The sequence below is a fragment of the Homo sapiens genome, chromosome 12 (assembly GCF_000001405.40).
Source record: "Homo sapiens chromosome 12, GRCh38.p14 Primary Assembly".
Lineage (NCBI taxonomy): Eukaryota > Metazoa > Chordata > Mammalia > Primates > Hominidae > Homo > Homo sapiens.
The window spans coordinates 92,528,320-92,546,957 of record NC_000012.12 but is presented as its reverse complement, the minus strand read 5'-3'; the positions used below and the strand labels follow the sequence as shown (position 1 = coordinate 92,546,957).

The window sequence follows — 18,638 nt, the reverse complement described above, 5'->3', positions numbered from 1 at the left end:
GCACATTCAGGGCTTTGTAATGAGATGCAATGTTTATTTTCTATACTCTTCCCCACAGACTGCAAAAATACCCTTTGCTCAACCCTGTCTAATCATTGCAAGTGTCAACAGTCAAAGCTAATGACAGAAGGTAGGTTTATGGGGCAGTAACCCTGCCTACTTGGCATAAAAGATCCATTCCCAGAAAAAAGGTTTAAGCAATCACGTGAACTTCAGTCTAACTAAAGGAGCTTCCGTGGGTTGGTGATTTTAAAATAATGATTTTTTGATCAGGTTTTGTAGTTAATGTTTGAGTGTAGATAGGTGGAGGAAGGTTGCAGTTGATGGCTATTTAATTAAGTGTATAGAACATGAGTCTTAGCCTTATCTCTTTCAAGATTAAGCATAAACCTCCTGTGTGTTTCTCTCTCCACCGAAACACTCAGTGGTCAGGTTAAATTAAGTTTTCTTTATTAAACATTTACCAAATATCTGCTAAGTTCCAGGTGTTGCGTTACACCTTTGAGAGTCAAAGATAAAGAAGTATGAAATGGACCTTAACACTTCTCTATTGGATTCTGAATTCCTGCATCATAGTTGGCCTTGAGCATGATTCACATACCTGGCTACTCAATGCAGGCTGTTGCAGAGTTGTCTGCATAAGAATTATCTTGAGAACTCGTTAAATATACAGGTTTGGGGGCCACAATCCCAGATATTCTGGTGTAATATACCTGGAAAGAAATACAGGCATCGATATGTTTTTTTTAAAAAGGTTCAGTGGTATTTTTTAAAAATGTATTTATTTGTATCTTTATTTCATCTCCCTGGTCAGCTTGAACTATCCAAGGTCATAAGAGTTGTACTTAAATACCCTTCTAATATTATAGTTTTGTTCAATTTCCTTATTTTTTAAATAGCTTTTGCTTCACATATTTTTTAATATTTTTTATTTTTTTGCAATTTTCAAGTGTACAATATACTATTATTAAATATAGTTACCATGACATAAAATAGATATCTTGAACTTACTCTTTCTGTCTAGATAAAAATTTGTATCTTTTGACCAACATTTCCTCAACCCCATCCCCACTTTCCCGAGCCTTTGGTAATCAACATTTTACTCTCTACTTCTATGAGCTCAACTTTTTTAGATTCCACATATAAGTGAGAACATACGGTATTTGTCTTTTTGTGCCTAGCTTATTTCACTTAACGTAATGTCCTTCAGGCTCATCCATGTTGTTGTAAGTGACAGGATTTTCTTATTTTTAAAGGCTGAATAGTATTCCATTGTGCATTTTGATCACATTTCTTTATCCATTCATCTGCTGATGGACACTTAGGTTGATTCCATATCTTGGTATTACGTGTAAGCTTTTGTTAAATTAACCCTGAATGCAAGGTAGAATTCTTTGGATGGTTTTTTTTTTTCCTGAGACAGAGTCTCACTTTATCACCTAGGCTGGAGTGCAGTGGTGTGATCTTGGCTCACTGCAACCTCTGTCTCCCAGGTTCAAGCAATTCTCCTGCCTCAGTCTCCTGAGTAGCTGGGACTGCAGGCATGTGCCACCACTGCTGGCTAATTTTTTTTTTTTTTTTTTTTTTTTGAGGCATAGTCCCACTCTGTTGCCCAGGCTGGAGTACAGATCTCAGCTCATTGCAACATCTGCCTCCCGGGTTCAAGTGATTCTCCTGCCTCAGCCTCCTGAGTAGCTGGGTCTACAGGCATCTGCCACCATGCCTGGCTAATTGTTTTTGTATTTTTGATAGAGATGGGGTTTCACCATGTTGACCAGGCTGGTCTTGAACTCCTGGCCTCAAGTGATCCACCCACCTTGGCCTCCTAAAGTGCTGGGATTACAGGTGTGAGCCATCATGCCCAGCCTCTGGACAGCATTTAAAAACAGCTGATACCAGGTCTCCACTCCACAGCAATTAAATCAGAAACTGTAGACACTGGGTCTTGGGCATTGACATTAAAAAAAAAAATTCTCCAAAGCATGATGATTGGGTTTTCATGCTAATGTGTGAAATGTGCCTCCCTCAAACCTTGTTACGACAAATAAAATTCTCCCCAGGTGATTCTAATATGAGTCGAGTTGCGACCCCTTGGAGCAGCTGTTTGCTGTTGATGACATAAAGCAAGGAGAGCTGCTGTCTTCTGGGACCCAGCATGTGCTTTTTGACCATTTCTTCCGTTTGTGTGATTATTTCAAATTTTCGAAGTGCTGTTATGTGTCTACATAACACCTTGCAAGCCCCTGGAAGAGACCTTAGAGACTGGCTACACCAGGAGTCAGGAACCCTGGAAAGGGCTAGATAGTAAATATTTTAGGCTTTGTGGACCATATGTCATAACTACTCAGCGGCTGTAGAGTAAGAGCAGCCATAGACAATATGTAAATGAATGGGCGTGGTGTGTTCCAGCAATCTTATTTACAAAACCGGTTGTGAGCTGGATTTTTACCCCTAGCTGTTGTTACTTGCTAACCCATGGTCTACACCAACACTCTGATCTCATCCATGAGGAAACTGCCGTCCACTGGGCGATGTGATTTGACTCAGATCTCAAGGGTAGGAAAGGGCAAACTGGGCTTGAAGTTCAGGTATTTCGACTTAAAACACATAAAAAAAAAACCTCTCCTAAATCTACAATTGGTGAATAGTGTTCTTAAAAATTAAACCATTAAAAGGAGGGTCTTCTCATCTCTACCTTTTGTGTTTCCCTGGCTTTATGGTGCTATGATATGCTGTGTACGTTTCCACTCTCTCCAGATTGTAAGCTCTTCCATAGTAGAGCCTGGGCTTTCTTCAGTGCCACATTCCCACCAGTCTGGGGCAAAGCAGTGCCTGTACCTGTTAGCGTGCTGAATATACTGCAGCCTGAGCATGTGGAGCTCAGTTTCATGTGTTTATTTCAAGACAACAGGGCTGACTGGGCTTCCGGTCATTTCCGGTGATTTCTGGAAGTATCTTTTGATAATATCTAGCCCACTTGCTTGTGTTCTTTATAACTTCAAATAATGTTTATATAATGACAGAAAAAGTTTGGAGATTGTGGCAGTGGGATAAAGCACAGATTAGATGTCTAATTACTTTTAAAAAGTTGACTTTCAAGTTTGGCCAAAAAAAAAAAAAAACACTGTAAGAAATCGAGTTTGAACAGGATTCTTTGCAATATTATTTTCTTTTCGATTTTCTTCTGTGCAGGCTTGCAGTAAAGTATATATGCAATATGTTACTCTTGTCTGTCACATTCAGAAACCTGCCCCCCAACCCCCTCTTCTGTGCAGTCTCTCCAGTTTGACCTTGAGAAGTACTGTTTACAATTCAGTGAACCTGGGTCTCTCCCTTCTTGCTTCAAGCTCAGCAAATGGACAAGAAAAACCTGCAGAACTCGTTCAGCAATTTCAGACTATAAACAAGTAATCCAGAGGGAATAAGGGAATGACTGCAATTAAAGTCTTCTCTCCCAAGGTTGTCAACACTCTAGGTTGAGCAGTGGCCTGAGAAAGTTGCTCATTTCTCAGACAGGCTTGCTTAATGCAAGGTGCAATGGGCTATTATCTAATGTACCTTGCTTTATCAGAACACACATTTCTCTCTGTGTCTCTGTCTCTCTCTCTCTCACACACACACACACACACACACACACACACACACATATCTTCCATATTCACATATAAACACACACAGTTGCTATTGTCTCAGTCTGGATATAGTGGAAGGTGGAATATTATGATCTTACAAGGGAAAAAAAGCTTTTAAAGGGCAATTCAGGGCTGGGCGCAGTGGCTAATGCCTGTAATCCCAGCACTTTGGGAGGCTGAGGCCGGAGGATCACAAGGTCAGGAGATGGAGACCATCCTGGCTAACACCGTGAAACCCTGTCTCTACTAAAAATACAAAAATTAGCCGGGCATGTTGGCGGAATTAGCCGGGCATGGTGGCGGGCGCCTGTAGTCCCAGCTACCGGGGAGGCTGAGGCAGGAGAATGGTGTGAACCTGGGAGGCGGAGCTTGCAGTGAGCTGAGATTGCGCCACTGCACTCCAGCCTGGGAAACAGAGCGAGACTCCGTCTCAAAATAAATGAATAAATAGCAATTCAGGCCGAGCGCGGTGGCTCATGCCTGTAATCCCAGCACTTTGGGAGGCTGAGGTGGGCAGATCACAAGGTCAGGAGATCAAGACCATCCTGGCTAACATGGTGAAACCCCATCTCTACTAAAAATACAAAAAATTAGCCGGGTGTGGTGGCAGTTGCCTGTAGTCCCAGTTACTTGGGAGACTAAGTCTCAGGAGAATCACTTGAACCCGGAGGCAGAGGTTGCAGTGAGCACACTAGCCTGGGTGACAGAGTGAGACTCCATCTTAAAAAAAAAAAAAAAAAAAGGCAAGGCAATTCAATCTGGGGCAGAGTGGCTCAAATGCTTGGGAATTAAACAGAAAGGACAATTTAGTCAACAAATACAGGGTGGCTGTAATGTCATATGATATAATTTTCATATAGCACAGAGCTACATGATTTCATTTATAAATTTTGTACTATGATTCTTTCAGAGATACAAAAGAAATAGACAACATGGTTTCTGACTTCTAGTATCTGGCAATTATTTGAGGAGAAAGCACACTGAATATGTATGTTATTGAAGGAATGGATAATGTACATATTTAAGGAAATGATGAAGACCCCAGATGGATGGAACAGATAACACCTTTTAAACTGATTCAGAGTACAGAACTTTCAGGGTAGAAGGCAATGGCGAGGAGAAGATAGTATTCGACTTAGGTCTTGAGGGATGGATTTGGATGGCAGAATGAAAGGTGAAGACCATGCCAAGTTCAAGCCTGAACAGCAGAAGTGGGGATGAAGTGTACCATCTGGCTGGGGTAGTGCCTTTTCCTGGGGGGTGGTGGTGCCTTCATTGCAGAGTAAGGTGGAAGTGCTTGTGAGAAACTGAATAATGGCACGGTCAATTTTGTGGGCTTGGGTTCAAGACCTAGCTCTGCCACATTCTATCAGTAACTTGGGAAAATTAGCTTAATTTCCCTGAAACTCTTGTTCCTCTTCTGTAAAATGGGGTAATAAAATTGTCCACCTCATAGGTTATTTTGAAGATTAAACAGGATAATACATGTTAATGTGCAATGCTTGGCACATAGTAAGCATCCAACAGGTAAGAACTATTAAATTATGGCAAATCCTGAATGTCAAAAGAAATTATAAATTTCCCGATGTACTAGCATTCATCTTTTCTAAGTATTTGCATGTCACATAAAAATTTCTTCTCAGCCTATCACTTTTTTTTCTCTCCTGTCCCTGGTCCAAGCAATGTTGTCCACATCCTGAAGAACTGCTCCATGAGCCCACAGTAGGACACTCTGAGGCCTGGCTCACCAGACTACATATCATGAGTGAGCACTTGGAAGTTCTAATCTGAGTGATACGGATGACATGTTCTCTGTGCCTTTGAATATCTAGTTTCTCATCTATAACACGATCTTTGAAGCTATACAAGGAGAGAATCAATATCACCTGATCACCATCTTTCGCCCTTTGAAAGGCATAAAATTCTAAGTAAGAATACTACACATCATGCTGTGTATTTTACTGCATGCATGCTAAGCCTTTACCAAACATTTTTAAAGGAAAAGAAGAATAAATTAGGATAGGAGCATTCAAAGGAACCCATAAGATGTCCCCTTAAAGAAAGGATTTATGGATAAGGAAACAAAAGCCCAGGTGGCCGATGTGATATACTTGTGGTCACACAGAGGAGGAAGTCTCCTGAAGCAAACTCAAGGGCGCTTTGTACATCATACTAATCCTACTTGTTGATTTATAAAAGTATTAGCTTCTTTATTTTCTCCTTAATTAGGACAGAGAGTAATTATCATTATTGGGTCCAGAAAGAATTATGCCAATGTTCCAAGATTGTGCATGGAACATTTGTTATGCAAACTGCTGCCCTTCACACATAGAGAGTCCCCATAGGCTATGTCCTCCTCCCTGGGGCTGCCAATGTGTCTAAATTGCTGGGAGCATCTCCCCCAGGCTTATGAACATGAGCTGCTCCTTTGATGGGATTTTGATGGCCATGAAATATCATTTAGGAGAGGGGTTAATGCCTTTTTTGTTGTTGATCTTTCACCTTCAGGGAGCATGAGCCTCTGAGAGATCTGCTTTCACGCCATATTCACAGAAAGGTTTTGCTCAGCCTGAGCCAGGCGGTTGCTGACTGCCAGGGCCAGCGTGTGCCGACTGCTGCTGTGTTTCCCAGCGCTGCCAGCAGGATCTTATTCTTTGTATCTGCACCTCCCAAACAATTCTTCCGGGGCAGCTTTGTCTGTGCCCCTCTGCTGGGCTGAAGGGCTGGTGCTTAGGGATGCATGCATCCCGCCCTTTGCCCTCATGTCTGAGCTGTTCGAATCTGATTTCCAGGGCAATTGCAGTTTGGCGGCTCCCCGGGGCATCCTCTTGAGTGGCTGCTCTGCTGTTACTGTTTGGGAGGCCTCGGAAACTCCCTTGGGTAGTTTGTCAGATGGTCTGATGAGAATAGCAGGAGCCTGTTTTCCATAGTCAGATTGTCATTTTCATCATCATTTTTGTTGTTGAGTTTCCCTTTTTAAAAAATAAAATCATAAAACAGACATACTCTTTTCTAAACAAGTGTAGACTTTTACCATGAGGGTTGGAAGGGGCCTCACTGAGTAAATACCTCTTCTCTCACCCTCGTGTGATGGCTTCTTTGTTTTGAACTTGGGTGTGCCCAAGTGGTTTTACAACCTCCCTTGGGTATCAACAGTCCTTATCCTCTCACCATCTGATCTCTCTTCCTGCTTCTGGTCCTCAGAGGGTGGTCAGACAGTGCTCCCAAGAATGGGTTGAGGTTCTGAAGGTATGTGGGCACCTAAAGATCCTAAGCTGTCAAAATGACTGCTGTCCAGGAGAAACTGACCAGACCTAAGGTTCAATCTGGGGAAACTTGACGCAATAACAATTAGCAAGTACTAGGCATTTTGCTGTGTATCAGGCCTGGAGATCAGCAGTTTACGTGAGTGATTTTCACACATTCCAAGAAATAGTTTCTTCCATTATTTCCACTTTACAGGTGAGAATATTGAGGCTCTGAAAGGCTAAATGACTTGGCTGAAGCCACATACTTAGTGGCAGAGTCAGAATTCAGTCTCTAAGGCTTTTGAATTCCAGAACTCATACTTTTAGCCATGATGGTATACAGATTTAGTTCTGGGGTCTGGAGACCATTGACAGTCTTGGAAATAAACTGTGTCTCAATATAAATAAAGGACAGATATGGTTGTGTTCAGTTCTTGGACACATTCCTTCGAACTCCAAAGGACAAGAGGTTAACCTCATGACTTTGATAGAAAACAGAAGACAGGTTGTGAGGTTTCTTGGGTAATTCTGGGTATTTGGACACCTGTTCAGTTATTCTTGGATTCTGTGATGGGGGGTGGGGGGAATATGGGGAGGCTGAGGTCATTATTGCAAAAACCATTTCCTGAGCGCTTGACTTCAGGAAATGCTGTAGCATTAAAAATACCCATTGTGTGGGAGTGATAGAAGCATGACTCACGTTTAGCAATTGTGTCCATAGGTCACAAAGGATTTGGGGAACACAGGAGATATTCACACAAGACTGTGTCTGTGGGTGGTTCATTAAGAAATTTTTAGTAGGTTGAGAAGCATGGTCGCATTTCAAAAGGAGTGACATTTAAGATTCTCCATGGAAGCTATGAGACTTGGCTCATCATTCATACATTGATTAACAAATGTCAATTGTCCGCCTACTAAGTGCAGGTCCTTGTACTGGGTGCTTTGGGATTTTGCAAGAGGAATAAAGCGTGGCTCTTGCCCTTTAGTGCAGTGTTTATGAAGTGGTGACAATGAAATAGGCTGCTTTTAAAATTTCCCCTTTTTTCCCCCTTGACACTTTGACAAAAGGAAGACTATCCCTTAAAGAAAGACATTTTGTTTTATTTTCCAGGACAAATACTATCAAAAAATCAGGTTTGTTAACTCTCAGGCCTTGTGCCTAGGAAAATATGATTATCAGGATAAAAGATTCAGGGGCATGTCCTGGCTTAGGTACCTTTTGTTCACTGTAGGGTAGAGTACAGTGAACAGTGAATACAGGGTAGAGGGAATAGGAATTTTTTTTTGTTTGTTTTGAGATGGAGTCTTGCTCTGTCGCCCAGGATGGAGTGCAGTGGTATGATCTCGGCTCACTGCAACCTCTCTCTCTCAGGTTCAGGCAATTCTCCGCCTCAGCCTCCTGAGTAGCTGGGATTACAGGCACCCACCACGACACCTGGCTAATTTTTGTACTTTTAGTAGAGATGGGGTTTCACCATCTTGGCCAGGCTGGTCTTGAACTCCTGATCTCGTGATCCACCCACCTCGGTCTCCCAAAGTGCTGAGATCACAGGTGTGAGCCACTGTGCCTGGTCAGGAATTGTTAATTAAATACTCATGGTCTTTTAAACTGGGCCAGAGGATTCTTTTTTTTGGCTTTGTTTAATATTTTGTATAAAATTGATGCATAGTAAACATGACACTAAAATACATGTACATTATGAAGTCTGATAATATAATGATCACCTGTGAAACCACCACCCAACCTAAGTACCATAATAGTTTCAATGACTTGCATTTCTTTTCATATTCTTCCTCTGTCCTTCCACCCCATCTCTGGCCTCCCCTCCTTAAAGATAGCCACTACCTTAGAATTTGCACTTACTGGATAGAGTTTAGACATTTCTTTTTTTTTTTTTTTTTTTTGAGACAGAGTCTCACTGTGTCACCCAGGCTAGAGTGCAATGGTGTGATCTCGGCTCACTGCAACCTCCGCCTCCCAGGTTCAAGCGATTCTCCTGCCTCAGCCTCCTGAGCAGCTGGGATTACAGGCGCCCACCAGTATGCCTGGCTATTTTTTTTTTCTTTTTTTTTTTTTTTGGTATTTTTAGTAGAGACAGGATTTCACTGTGTTGGCCAGGCTGGCTAGACATGTACGGATTTCAGATCCGTACATGATGCTGTGCATGAAGGGAAGCTGGTATATTCACAGAGAGGTAGCTTAGTTTTCAGGGTTTATTTTGTTGTGGCTAATAGACCTAGACATCTGTGGCTGTGTTTGTTTCCATACATGGGCATGGCCTACGCATAAATGGAATTCCTCCTGAAGAGGCTGCAGAGCACAGGGTTATGTGTGTGGGCCTGAAGTCAGGTAGATCTGGCTTTAAATCTCAACTCTTTTACTAGATAAAAGTAAAATGTATTGTATCTGCCTTGAGTGCCAGGCCCTTTGCAAATGATATCTCAGTTATTCCTATGACATTGTGAGATGTATTCATATCATCATCTTCCTGGTGAAGGAACTGGGATTCAGGGAGGTTGTGGAATTTGTTCTGTATTTCTAGCTTGTAAGAGACACCATCAGCATTAAGCAACCTTCAAGTCTTATTCAAAAGCCTCCTTTTCTTCTTCCTGTTAGAAAGTTTCCCTTTCAAATCAGTAAGAAAACCAAGGCAACCATTCTCATATGGGTTTCATCAATGCATATACATATGACCACAACTTTGGAAGTTGTGGTCAATGCAAGAAAATATTAAAAAAACTCAGAAGAGTTAATACTGGAAAACAAAATTGAAATATCATTTTTAGATGTTATGATTGTATACTTTTAAAAACTATAAGAAATAATCTAAAAAATAAAATAACTATAGGCATCAATAAAATGGACAGATGAATGCCATATATATAAATATATACCAGGAGTCCTTTTATTTTTACCAGAATAATATAATATTATCTAAATTATTTAACAATAAGAATTCTTATGAAACAGTTGCATGTCTTATCTAATAGAAACAAAAGTATAAAACTTTACTGAATAATATTAGAGAAGATGAATGGAAAGGTGTACTATTATCCTTGAAAATAATGATCAATCAGAAAGCCTTCTATCTCATTCAACAAATTTATAGGTTGACTATAGTCCACCTCAAAAATCTCCATAGGATATTTGAACTTAACATAATTGTAATTTTTATTTGCAAAAATAGATGTCATTTATTTAGCACTTACCACCCCCATGCTCACCTAAGAGCATTAACTTGTATTTTGCAAAGAGAACAGTAAATGGAGGTATATCTTCCCCCAATAAGCATACAGTTAAATGGAACAGCACAGTTCAGAAGTAAACATATTGTATATAAGAATATAACAGATAACAAGAGGCATCTTTGAAAAACAATAAAATAAAGAATTATTTAAAACAGATTGTTTAGTATTCTTATCTAGATCTCTCTTTGAAAAAATCAATTTAATACAGCAATTTAATACCCTATGATTAAAATAAATTTTATATGGCTAAAGTATTAGATAATAGAAAATATTGCAGAAAATGTAAGTTATTGATTGTCAGATCTTTGGAGAAAACACTGTCTTTTTTTAAAAAAAATTGTACTTTGAAGTGCCAGAAGAAATCACAAAGAAAAAGACTGACAAATGTGGCTACATAAAGGATTGCAAACATATGAGCAACAACAAGAAGAACAAAATAACTTAGGTCAGCAGATGGGAAAGAATCACAACAAACATGACAAACAGAGGCTATCATCTATGGTGAAAACTCCCACTGGAGAGCTGAAAGTAGTGGGCCAGTTCTTCCCAAAGTGCAGGCTGTCGGAAGGACAGAGGAAGACTAGCTTCTAGGAGGGAGCAGGGCTGGCGTCTTGGGGACCTGCTTGGGCACAGGGAAAGGCGGGGCTGACTTCACTCCCACCTAGGTCCAGTGGGTCTCTGGGGACTGGAGAATCACATTGATCCTAGGTTATGGCAGGATGTGGTTACCCAGGACTTCTGTCTCTCTCTAGGAGGGTGCTCTACTCCAGGAGGTAGAAAGGAAGGAAACACTGAGGGAGGAAACAGCCCTGGATATAAAAAGAATTGGAAGAGTTGTCCTAGAAAATCAACCTTAGTGGCAAGGAGGGAAACTGCTTCTGCAGGTAATGGAAAGATGGAGACAGTGTCTCCCAAAGAGCCACTGGAAAAGAGAAGGTCTCCTCATAGGGAAAACAGGATCCCATGGCAGGTGGATTTTTCTTGGCTGTGAGTACATTTTGTATGGTGCTTACAGAACATAGTGCTTAGGACCATCATCCTAGGACTCAGGAAGCCACATGGGAACTTGAGGGAAATATGCAGAGGAGTGTCTGATCATAGTAGATAGTAGATACTCAATAAATATTTTTTAAATGCAAAAGATAAAACCTAGCTGTCCAATCTGTGACAAAATTTTGATAACTTTAGCTTTGCTGATGGCATGCTAAATTGCTTCAATGCTTTCGAAAAATAACATGACTATGTCTAGTGTATCACTATACACAGGCAAATGTTCAAATCTTTTGAGCTTGTCAGTGTATGCTCTTGGGAATTTAAGAAAATAATTGAGATAATTGAGCATCAAAACAAAGCCATACATATGAAGTTCTGTAATAGTAGATGCTATGGCCTGAATGTTTAGGCCCTGCCCTCTGAAATTCATCTGTTGAGATCCTAACCCCCAAGGTGATAGTATTAGGAGGTGAGGTCTTTGGGAGGTGATTAGGTGATGAGGGAGGAATCCTCATGAATGGGATTAGTGTTCTCAGAAGAGAGGTCTCAGAGGGTTCCTTGCCTCTTCCACCATGTGAGGACACAGAGAGAAGACAGCTGTCTATGAACCAAGAAGGGTGCCCTCACCAGACACTGAATCTGCCAGTACCTTGATGTTGGCTGTCCCAGTCTCCAGAACTATGAGAGATAAATTTCTGTTGTTTATAAACCGCTCAGTGTACGGTATTCTGTTATAGCAGTCCAAATTAACTCAAACAGTTAAAAAAAAAACAGATAAGAGGTTAATAAATATCTATACATATATCAATAAAATAGTATTTATTCATTAAAAATGACAGATAAGACCATAGAAATGGAGAGAAATGTGTAGTTTTAATGTCAAGTGAATAAAGCAGAATGTAGAGGGGCTTCCCTCTGCCTCCAACAAGCTTTGCTGAGGCCCATTCCCCCGCTGAATGCCCCTGAAATCCCACCACGCTGGCACCCTCTTTAGTGCCACACTTTACACAGGTCCCCGAATTGCTTTCTTGCCTCCTCAGCATCTCAGAGATGTTTCTGTGTGGAGTCTATCAATTCAATTAATACAACTGTACCTGGTCCTAGAACTCAGACATAGGGATTGGGTGGGAAAACATTAAATAGTAAGGATGTTTACCTTTTGTCTTTATGCTGTGCTTAAAATCATGCCATCCCTTTCAATATTGTTTGACCAAAAACATATGTCCAACTCTAACTAGTTTAAGATGAGATTTTCTTAGGAGACTCCTTAGTCTTCCCTCATTCAAATCAACCCCCAGTGGGCCTGAACCCTTAGCCTCTACACGTGTCCAGACATGTCTGAATACTATGGTGGCAAATCTACTCAGGCGCAAATTGAGACTTCTGACATGAAAGCAATTCTTTCGTTAAGTAGTGAGATGTGATATGTGCTTTCATTTTAACAATGTTTCTATATATTATACTTATATAGAAAAATGAGAATGGATCATCGCCAATATCTTCTGCTTTCTTGACAGTTTGTGAATTATCATTTCATGCTTTAGTCTTGTATTTTTTAGTTCAATTTTTAAAAGTTATTAATGTGACGCATGCTTTGAATCCAACCTAAAATTTATAGAGAAAAAGTTGACAATCTTCTCTTATCCCATCCAACCTATTTTTACTCCTTTCAAAAACAAATTTCCTGAAAGAAGATGGCAATATACAGTCCCATCAGCCATGGTATGACCTATGGTCCTATGTCTATTTTTCTTCATGCTCATACAAAGAAACATAAATGCATGCTCCATATATGTGTGTTGATGAAATCACCCAACTTACATACATTTGAAACTTGTTTTCTTTCACTAATATTTCATCTGGATGTCTCTCCAGGTCAACTAATATAGAGCCTACCAATTATATTTATAGTAGCATAATGAAACTGCCTTTGCAAAAACTGTAACTGAGAAAATTATGATGGTAAAAGAAATTTGACTTAACCGTCCCCATCTTGCTTCTAACCTCCAAGTTGTCCTTGTTCATTCTTGGGCATAGGCTGAACTAACTTTGGGAGGTACTTAGTTTATAGTTCAACTTTGAGACAAAGATAATAACAACTCTTTGCCAAAACAAACCTCCTTCCTCCCTGGGGACTAGACTGCCTTTGCAGGACTAATGAATTAGCCACAAGATGAGAAATTATGGTTTAGGAGTTATGCAGCTGGAGGCTGCAAGATTCTAAACTCCTCCAAATGGCTCCTTGGGATAACATCACTATTGTAAAACTGAAAATCTGTGCTTGAGATATTTCGCAGACCCTGCACTTGATGGATCAGCTGGCACCGCCCAGATCGCTACGAGTGGCTCCCACCCAGCAACTGACTCAGTGCAAGAGGACAGCTTTGACTCCCTATGATTTCATCTCCGACCCAACTAATCAGTATTCCCACCCCCGGCACCCCACTAGCCAAACTATCCTTAAAAACTCTGATCCCCGAATTTTCAGGGAGACTGATTTGAGTAACAATAAAACTCTGGTCTCCTGTACAGTGGCTCTGCATTGATTAAATGCTTTCTCTATTGCAATTTTTCTGTCTTGATAAATTGGCTCTGTCTAGGCAGTGCGCAAGGTGAACCCGTTGGGTGGTCGTAATAATATTCTGTTGTATAAATGTCTCGTAGCTAATTCAATTATTTCCCATTTTTGGACAATCAGCCTATTTTTGTGATTTCTTTAAGAATGCTACAATAAAGATTCTTATATTTATATGCATTTATAAGTGTATACATACACACTTATACTTACACCTACACACATAAATGTTAGTGCTTTTGTTTCTCTCAAATATGATATTGGCCATGTCTCCTCATATGTGTTTTACCCTTTAGTATATGTTGCTATTGATTTCCCAAAAGAGAATAGCAATTTCCAATACCTCACTTTCTCACTGAAATTGAACATATCCTTTAATTTTTGCCAATTTGATAGGCAAAAAATGGAATCTCATCAATATATTTTAATTGGCATTTCTGTAGCTACTTGTTAGGTTGTGTATATTTTCATATATTTATTATCCTTTGAATTTCCCTTTGTGATAACATTGTTTATATATTTGCCCATTTTCCACTGGGATGTTAGCACTTTGCTTATTGATTTGTGGGAGCTCTTTATCATATGCGCTGCAGCCTGTGTTTTACCTTTTAACTTTGTTTAATGGTATCATTTATTTGCTTTGAAAATTTTTTCAAAATGCACATAGTTAAATATAACTCTTTTTATGTATGATTTCTGGGCATCGTGCTTTACTTTTAGGAAGACCTTTCTTCTCTAGATTATATAAATTATTTTATACATTTTCTATTTTTTTGTCTTATTGTTTAAGTCTTTAAACTGTGGAATAATAATATAATACATGTAATATAATATGTTATATACATTTTATATGTGATATAAGGTCATATTGCAGGTTTGTTCTTCCAGATGAGCATTTAGAGCAATCCATTTCCTAAAGATTCAGCTTTTCTTGGTGGTACATGGTTGTCGTACCAGTTACTTGGGAAGCTGAGGTAGGAGGATCGCTTGAGTCTGGGAGGTCAAGGCTGCAGTAAGCTATGATTGTGCCACTGCACTCCAGCCCGGGCAACAGAGTGAGATTCTGTCTCAAAAAAAAAAAAAACAAGAAAAAAAAAAAAAGATCCAACTTTCCCAAATCCTTAACTTTCCTGCTACATTGACTGCCCATCACACTCACCTGGCAAAAACCAATGTCTTGATCAATCTTTTAATCTCCTGCATATCTGTTCCTGGGCTACTGAAAACTGCTGGGGGGAAAAATGGCGTTAAGAGCATTTTTATCACTGACCATTCATGATCTCCAACTTCAACTGTGTTGTCTATGTCTCCTGAAAAGAATTATCTGGGTTCCAATCAGGGCCACTTAAAAACTTTCACTGTCATAGGGCCTTTGCCTTTCTACTTTCTTCTCACTCTCCAGATTGTTCCCTATTTCACAGAAACAATAAAGGCAAACAGAGGGAAATTCTTTGAAAGTCCTGAGTCCCTCCCAACATTATAAAGCTATCCCTAAGGAAAACCTGTTCAGGAGATTCTCTGCACCCCATTCTCTCCTGTTTCCCTAGAGACTTTGCTCCATCTGTTAGCCACTTTCAAATATAGGTTCTTTGTTGGATCTTCTTGTCATCATTTAAGCACGTTCTTTGTTGGATCTTCTTGTCATCATTTAAGCACGTTCTAGCCTCTTTCATCTTAAAAAACAAAAACAAAAAAAACCCAAATCCTCCATTAATCATACATTCTCTTCTAGTTACTATCTCTCTCTCTCCTTCTTTATTTTTCCAGCTAAGTTGCTGACTTCACTTTGCACTACCTGCTCACTCATAACCCTTTGCGGTCTGTTTTTTTCCCCAAGATTAAATGATTGTTATAAAAGTGCATCACACTGTATGGAAATCAACATTTTCTGCCATAATTTTGCGTATCTAGGACTATAGAAATATCACTGTCTCTGCCCCACATCTTCAAATCACACGAATAAGTCTTCCTTAAGAGGAACTTCTGGAAAAACAAGCTATTTCCTGGGCTTATATTTCCCTGCTTTTGTAGCATGCATCAACAATCTATCCATGCAGTATACATTGGGGAGTAAAGAGGGCATCCACCAGCAAAACCACAGTTGTTGACAGCCATAAGATTAGAGACAAGCACAAAGGGACAGGTCAACATGCCAGCAAAAATCTTGTGACAGCTTGAGAATAACTCTATTTCATTCATGGTAGAAACCCTGCTGTCCAGTGCATAGGTATTGATGAGGTAGGCCAGTGAGCTACACAGCCGCAAAGAAATGATGTCACCTAGGAGGTGAGGAACCAGTCCTGGGAAAAACCCTAGGATGCCCTCTTTCTGATAGATGGTCATGAAGTCACAAAGTCCACAGTACTTAGGTCCTCTGCCAATGAATTGTACCACAGGTCTCAGAGTGATCACATGGAAGGGATATGTGATGAGGATAGCAGCAGAATGAGCCATCATCTCTCAAGCTGTCTCCTTGATAACTCAGTCAAAGGAAGATGAGACTTCCTTATGCACATTTCCAGGTCCTCATCACACTCCTGGGAATGCTGTAAAACTTTTCCATGGGCCACAGTTTGAAGGCCTCCCGAACACAGTCTTGGAGTTAAGCCTGTGAAAAACCCATACCTCTCATTGATACTGGCAATGTGTTGAGTGTAACAAAAGAGACCAGGAAGTTGAAATACTTGCCATCCAAAAATATTGCATCCTATTTTTGGAGGAAGAGGCTTATATCCCGCATGAGCAGCTGGGACAGGATGGTGAGACCAGAACCAAGGAGGACTTGACTTGTGTCTGCCATGATGGCACCTGCTGCAGTCTGGCTTTATTTTTAATCTTTCTACTGAAATTACTCTGGCTGGTGGTTCTCAACTTGGGGTGATTTGCATCCTAAGGGACATTTGGCAATGTCTGGAGACAATTTAGGTTGGCACAAATGGGAGATGGACAGGGGAAATGGGGTTGGTCCTGTCATCTAATGTGTAGAGGCTAAGGATTTTGCTAATCATTCCATCATACACAGGACAGCCCCCCATCATAAAGTTATTCAGCCTTATGTGTCAATGGTGCCAAGGTTGAGAAACTTGCTCTAGACAAAAAGTCCCCATTGAGTTCCTTGTGGCTAAAGTCAAATGACTGTTCCAGCTCTTATCTTCTTGACCTCTGTGAAGTGTGGGGCACCACTGTGACTCTGCCTTCTTAAAACCATATCTTCCTCTGGCTTCTCTATCACTGATTTTTTTCTGTGTGCCCTCTTACTTCTCTGACTGCTCCTGTTCATCATCTCATTTGTCTAAATTTTGAATATAACTGTTTTTTAGAGATCCAGCCTCAATTTTCTTCTTACCTTCCACACTGTTCTTAGATGATTTTGTTTACACCTATGACATTAACTTGTGAATATACACTGATGTCTTCCAGGTCCATATCAAAACTCACACAGTCTCCTGCCTATTGAACATCTCACATATGCCAAACTGAACTCCTGAGTGGACTGCCCTTCCTCCCTAAACTATGTGTTTCTATTTCCCTAGCCAGGGATGGCATGACCACCAACCCAGCAGCCCACATCCAGAAACCTGGTGGGGACTCTTCAGTCCTCCTTTTCATTTAATCAGATGTTCAACAAATCTTCATCTCCTATTATTTCTCTCTTGTTTATTTCTCTTAAATCTATCTGCTTATCTCAGTTCTCAATCCAACCACCTGTATTACTACAGCAGCCTCTCAATTACTTTTCTTAACAAATCTTTTTCCCGTTGAATCTATCTTATGAGTTGTATTTATAATGATCTTTCCAAAATGCAAATCAAGTTAGATCTATATCTAAAATCCTTCAATCCTTTTCCTTGTCTAAGAAAAGGCTAAATTTCTAGATGTGGCCTAAAAAGCCATTCATGATGACAACCTCTGGAGAGTTAGTCCACATCTTATTTATCTCGCTATAGTACAGTGCTCAGTACATATTAGTGGGATACATAAATAAATGAAAGAACAAATTTCTGGAGAAAAAGCTATCACATGTATTTCCTTAGTGTCAAAAGCTAAAATTAATTTTATGTGTCTCTTTTATAATTATGTGAGTACTTTTCTATTGAATCATAAATAAGAAACTAATGTTATACTGGATATCATGAGAAGTAGGCTCAAAATTGAGAAATGAAAATAAAATATATTTTAAACAAATGCTTACAAGTGAAATTATTATGCCAGTTTTACATCTTGAAGGTTGTGATGCATGTTTCCAAATTGTTTTAAAAGATATAGTTCGTGTTTAAAACACCAACCATTGCAGGTTAAAATCTTTAAAGGTGAAGTATCATGTCTGCAACTAACTTTCAGGTGGTACGGCAAAAATGTTATATATATTACACATATAAACACACATATTTGTATATACATAAACCCACAGATACATACACACATGCACACATGCAGTAAGAGAGAGAAAGAGAAAGAAAAGAGACAGAGAGAAAGAGAAAGCAAATATGACAAATATTTACAGTATAGACATATTAGGATTTGTCAGAGAAATAGAACCAATAGAATACGTATATATATGTGTGTGTGTGGGTGTGTGTATAATACATACACACACATATATATGTATATATATACACACACATATATATGCGTGTGTGTATTTATATTTGTTTATATTTATATTTATATACATTTATGTTTATTATGAGGAATTGGCTCATGCAATTATGGGGAATAAGAGGTCTCATAATCTGCCATCTACAACCTGGAGACCCAGGGAAGCCCATGGTGTAATTCCAATCCAAGCCTGAAGGCTTGAGAACCAGAAGAGCTGATGGTGTCAATATAAGCCCAAGGGCAGAAGATCAGTGTGCAAATCAAGCAGGCAGGTAGGAAGCAAAAAGAATGAAATCCTCCTTCACTCTTTGTTCTATTCAGTAGAAAGGCAAAGGTCCTCAA

The 18,638-nt window shown here is 39.8% G+C and overlaps 2 pseudogenes, besides 2 other annotated features; one reads left to right on the top strand and one right to left on the bottom strand.

Moving 5' to 3' along the window:
- Window positions 1-1,970: 1,970 nt before the first annotated feature.
- LOC124903118 (uncharacterized) lies at window positions 1,971-2,066 on the top strand (annotated as a pseudogene).
- Window positions 2,385-2,524: a silencer, noted in NCBI's record as "silent region_4701". NCBI's record gives its function as "represses an Ori minimal core promoter by ATAC-STARR-seq in GM12878 lymphoblastoid cells {active_cell/tissue: GM12878}" and the evidence as "EXISTENCE:reporter gene assay evidence [ECO:0000049][PMID:35858748]".
- Window positions 7,810-7,859: an enhancer, noted in NCBI's record as "active region_6748". NCBI's record gives its function as "activates an Ori minimal core promoter by ATAC-STARR-seq in GM12878 lymphoblastoid cells {active_cell/tissue: GM12878}" and the evidence as "EXISTENCE:reporter gene assay evidence [ECO:0000049][PMID:35858748]".
- On the bottom strand, window positions 15,525-16,509 carry MTCH2P2 (MTCH2 pseudogene 2; annotated as a pseudogene).